Raw genomic sequence first — 5,076 nt, 5'->3', positions numbered from 1 at the left:
AGCTCTGCAGCGGCCTAGGAGGAAGGTTTGCTAGAATTACTGCCCCATGTGACTTTCTTTTAAAAATTAACTTGCAGATCCCTGGGTGCTATATCAGCTTTCTCAACCTGGACATTGGACCCTGGAGCCTGCATTTTGAACAGACGTTCTGGGCAATTCCAATGTGCATTATAAGCAGGGAACCATTTACATGAAGGTTCCACCTACCTGAGCAAAGGTGGAAGTTGGGAGAGATAGGGCCAGAGAACAGAGTGGATAGTTCTTTGCCATCTTTGGTTTCCCCGAGGTCTCTGCTGGGCAAAGGGTCTCTCAGAAAACCCTCCCTGAAAGATAAGAGCCTATTTACCAAAATTTACATCTAGGTCCAATAAATGGAGCTGACTTTACCCATGCAGGGCTGGGTGTCAGACTCAGCTGTCTCTGTTACGATGCACTTTTAAGGCTTTTCTAACAGGATGAGCTAGATTACTGGCAAAGAAATGAATTTCTCCTATCTCCACATAATTCTAAATCTCCTCACTAGAGAATTAGACTATCTGTCCCATTTCCAACAATGACACATGTTGAATGGCCCAACATTGGCCAATGGTCCTGGCCTGCCATGTCTTCTCACAACAAATGTTCCCTTGTAACTTGCTCACTCTGGGGTTAGTAGGAATTTCAAATTGGGAGAGAAAGAGAGAGAACTGTTTTAAGTGGGCTGACCTTGGCCTTCCCAAATTACCTCTGAAGTTCCAGGATTTGTGAATGACCCAGAGGTCCATGATCCACAGTCATGCGCCATTTGAATGAAGCATGAATTTGGATGGTGTGCATCTGGAACTATGGAGGGGAACTGGGTCTCGTAGCTGGGGAGCACCAGTACCTTAGCTTTGTGGAACTTGCGACACGGTGGAAGTTCTGTTTCTTGGCAAAAAATGGTCATGTGGTTGAAGAGAAACTTTCAGCGGATATAGAAATAACCATCAACTTGTGGTAGGAGAATGGCACTGGGTGCTCATGGAGCTTTACAAGACATGTGAAGTGGGAGGAAACCGGGAATCTGTGTTAGCATTTCCAGTGCTCCAAATTCGGGATCCCTGGAGGTTTCAGAATCAGTCCTCCCAAATATTTATGGAAATAATAACAAATGCTTGTATTTATTGAGTGATAATTACATGCCAGGCAAGGGGCCAAGAACTTAGCACACATCATCTCCTGTGACCCTCACAGCAATACTCCAAGTGCGTACTTTTATGATCACCATTTTCTAGAGAAGGGAACTGAGCACAGAGTGGTTGTCCAGTTTCAACAAGAACCCACAGCCAGACAGCGGCAGAGCTGGGATTCAAACTGACAAACACTCTCTCCTCGCCCAAACTTAGTTCGTCTCCTCTGAGCCCTCTATTCGACTAGGCCTCAAATATGGCCCCAGTCCTGCACAGCAAAAATCATGTCAAGTCAGTTTAGCAAAATGTCTTCACCTTTGATCTCTGATCACCCTTGAAATCTGATCAATTTCCTCATCCCCCACCTTTAATGTATAAGTCCTTGACCTGCCTTTAGCAAGAATCCTGTTAGGTCAGTTTAGCAAGAATTCCCCAACCCTGGGTGTCTCCTCTTCGCAATTTTTCATCCACTGACTCTCCTTACTCTGCTCACTGACTATAATCCCCCACCTGTCCTTTCTGTATTCAGAGTTGATCCCCATCTCCCTCCCCTATTGCAGTACCCCTACTGTGATAGTCTTAAATAAACCCTGCCTTACCTTTTAAATAAGTCTCAGAATCATTCTTTCATGAACAGAACACAGGCAGTTGGACTCTGGTACCTGCCTTCTTAATCCATACAGTATCCTGCCAGACCAGCGCTGTCCAATACAACTATAATGGAAGCCACATGTGTAACTTTAAATTATCTAATAGCCACATTAAAAAGGGAAAAAGAAATAGGTGAAATATTTTTTTTTAAGTTTTTTACCTAGTATATCTGAAATGCCATTTCAACATATCATTGATAGTACAAAATTATTAACGAATATTTTACATTCTCTTTTCCTTACTAAATATTTGAAATCTGGAGTGTATTTTACGCTTTAAGCATATCTTAATTCAGATGAGCCACCAGTGGTAAATGGCTGCAGTAATAGGCAGCATGGGGCTGGATTATCCCCTGGCAGGCAGGATGCTTGATGTAGTTTGGATGTGTGTCCCTGACCAAATCTCATGTTGAAATCTAATCCCCAATGTTGGAGGTGGGGCCTGCTGGGAAGTGATTAAATCATGGGGGCGGATTTCTTATGAGTGGTTTAGAACCATCCCTTAGGTACTGTCCTCGCGATCCTGAGTTCTCACGAGATCTGGTCATTTAAAAGTGTGTGGCACGTCCCCCCCCCCGCTCCCTTTCTCTTGCTTCTGCTCTGGCCATGTGACATGCCTGCTCCCCCTTCGCCTTCTGGCCACAGTTGTAAGTTTCCTGTGGCTTCCCCAGAAACCAAGCAGATGCCAGCATCATGCTTCCTGCACAGCCTGCAGAACCGTGAGCCACTTAAACCTCTTTTGTTCATAAATTGCCCAGTCTTAGGCATTTCTTTATAGCAATGCAAGAAGGAACTAATACAATGCTTGAGTTGGAAAATTTTTTCATGGGGGTGCCTAGGGTAGAGGAAGCACAGAGAAAGGAGGAGAGGAGAATGAAGAGACAAGGAACCTGGCTGGGACACCTGGGGGCATGGCTGCCTGTGCAGCTGGAATGGAGAGATCATTTCAGGAGCAGGGTGTGGGGTGATTAGAACTGAGCAGAGGCTCTGAGGACATCTGTGTGGGTGGAATCCAGGGGACTACATGTGAGAATTACGCTGAATAAAGATAGGGCTTTGGGCCTCCAGTTGTGAAGTGTGCCAGGGATGGAGGTGAAAAGCGACTTAGAGTGGATGGAGAGAAGAGTGGGGTAATGAGCAATCCCAGAGAAACTGGCTCCAAGTGTGGGCCAGGCAATGTGCTCTCTGATTGGGAAGGGCAGGCAGGTGATGAAAGAGGACAGTGTCTCTCCAGCTGTCATGTGCACAGATATCACCTGGGGATCTTGTTCAAATGCAGGTTCTGATGCAGTTGATTTGAGATGAGGCCTAAGATTCTGCATTTCTGAAAAACTCACAGGTCTGGTGAGGCTGCTGGTACATGGACCGCCATGCTCTGAGTAGCAAGGACTAGGACACAGATTCATGCTTTGAATGGTTAAGTGGCATAGAAGGGGAAGAAGTAGAAACTTAGCTAAGCTCTGGAGAGCCTTCGGCTTGTGCGCTTTCCAAGCTGTGGCAATAATAACTGTGGCTTGCTTCCACTGAGTACCTACTATGTGCCAGGTACTGCGTGTTGGGCTTTATACCAGAGATTAGCAAACTAGGGCTCATGGGCCAAATCTGGCTGCTTCCTGTTTTGGTGAGTAAAGTTTTATTAGAACCCAGCTACACCCATTCATTTATTTACATATAGTCATGGCTGCCTTCATGGTACAGTGGCAGAGTTGAATAGTTGCAACAAAGATCATTCACAAAGCTTAAAATAGTTACCATCTGGCCCTTTATGGAAATATTCTGCTCATCCCACATTTGCACATTATCTTATTTAATTCTCATCACAGCCCTGTGAGGTAAGTACTGTTATTGTTCCCTGTTACAGATGAACAAACAGAGGTGTAGAGGCATCAAGGCACTTGCCCAGGGGCTCACAGCTAATACAAAGGACAGACAAGGTCCTCATAATCAAGGCTGATGGAGGCCAATGCCGTATTTGGTTTTCTGTTCCTGCGTTAATTCATTTAGGATAATGGCCTCCAGCTACATCCATCTTGTTGCAAAAGACATGATTTCCTTCTTTTTTTACGGCCATGTAGTATTCCATGGTGTGTATGGACCACATTTTCTTTATCCAGTCTAGTTTTGATGGGCATTCAGGTTGACTCCATGTCTTTGCGATTGTAAATCATGCTACGATGAACATATGTGTGCATGTGTCTTTGTGTTAGAATGATTTGTATTCCTTTGGATATATACCGAATCATAGGATTTCTGGGTCAAATGGTAATCGACCATTCAATTACCTGTTTCCTGTTCTAAGTTCTTTGAGAAACTGCCAAACTGCCTTCTACAGAGGCTGAATTAATTTACATATCGCATGTTCTCACTTATAAGTGGGAGCTAAACATTGAATACACATGGACACAAAGAAGGGAACAACAGACACCAGCGCCTACTTGAGGGTGGAGGAGGGGAGGAGGGTGAGGATAGAAAATCTACCTATTGAGTACCATGCACATTACCTGGGTGATTAAATAATCTGTACTCCAAACCCCTGTGACACACAATTTACCTATATAGCAAACCTGCACATGTACCTTGAACCTAAAGTTTAAAAAGATAAATAAGTTAAATTAATGCACTAGTCTCATGGAAACAGGAGTGGCCTCTAGAAAGCAAGCACGTATGTGTGTGAGCAGCAGGAGGCTGAGGGAGACCAAGATGCTGTTTTATGGAAAGGACCCAGTGTTTCCTTCTATAATGGCTTCTCTCGCACCCCACACCGTCTTCCGTTGCCCACCTCTGAACTTACCTGCGACAGTGCCTGTCTCTTACCCCAAGCATTGGCCTCTCTTCCTACTATGGGATGGCAGTTGTTAAATCCCCCAATGTCCCCACCCCTTGTGGGACAATCCAGAGGCACGTTCTACACAATTCGCCCGGGGTCCACAGTGAGCTTGAGCCCCAGGTGCCCACAGTGGTCACCTGCTCATTATTGGCTTCCCGTATCCGTGGCCCCCACATCACTCTCCCATTCTCCCACTTGTGGGAATCACCTCCCAAGTAAACTACCTGCACCCAAACCCCATTTCCAGTTCTGTTTTCAGGGAAACACAAACCAAGACACATACTCAGCTGTGTAGGTACCATGGCAGTCATGTAAAATGCCTGTGGGGTTCACCTTTTACAGATAAAGAACTGGGGCCCAGAGAGGAGAGCTGCTTGTCTCAGTTACACAGGTTCCTAGCCAGGTCCATCTGACTCATTCATTGAAGAGTCCTACAGCTCATTCTTTGAAT

Source organism: Homo sapiens, chromosome 3, assembly GCF_000001405.40.
Source record: "Homo sapiens chromosome 3, GRCh38.p14 Primary Assembly".
Lineage (NCBI taxonomy): Eukaryota > Metazoa > Chordata > Mammalia > Primates > Hominidae > Homo > Homo sapiens.
Note: the sequence above shows the minus strand (reverse complement) of the source record.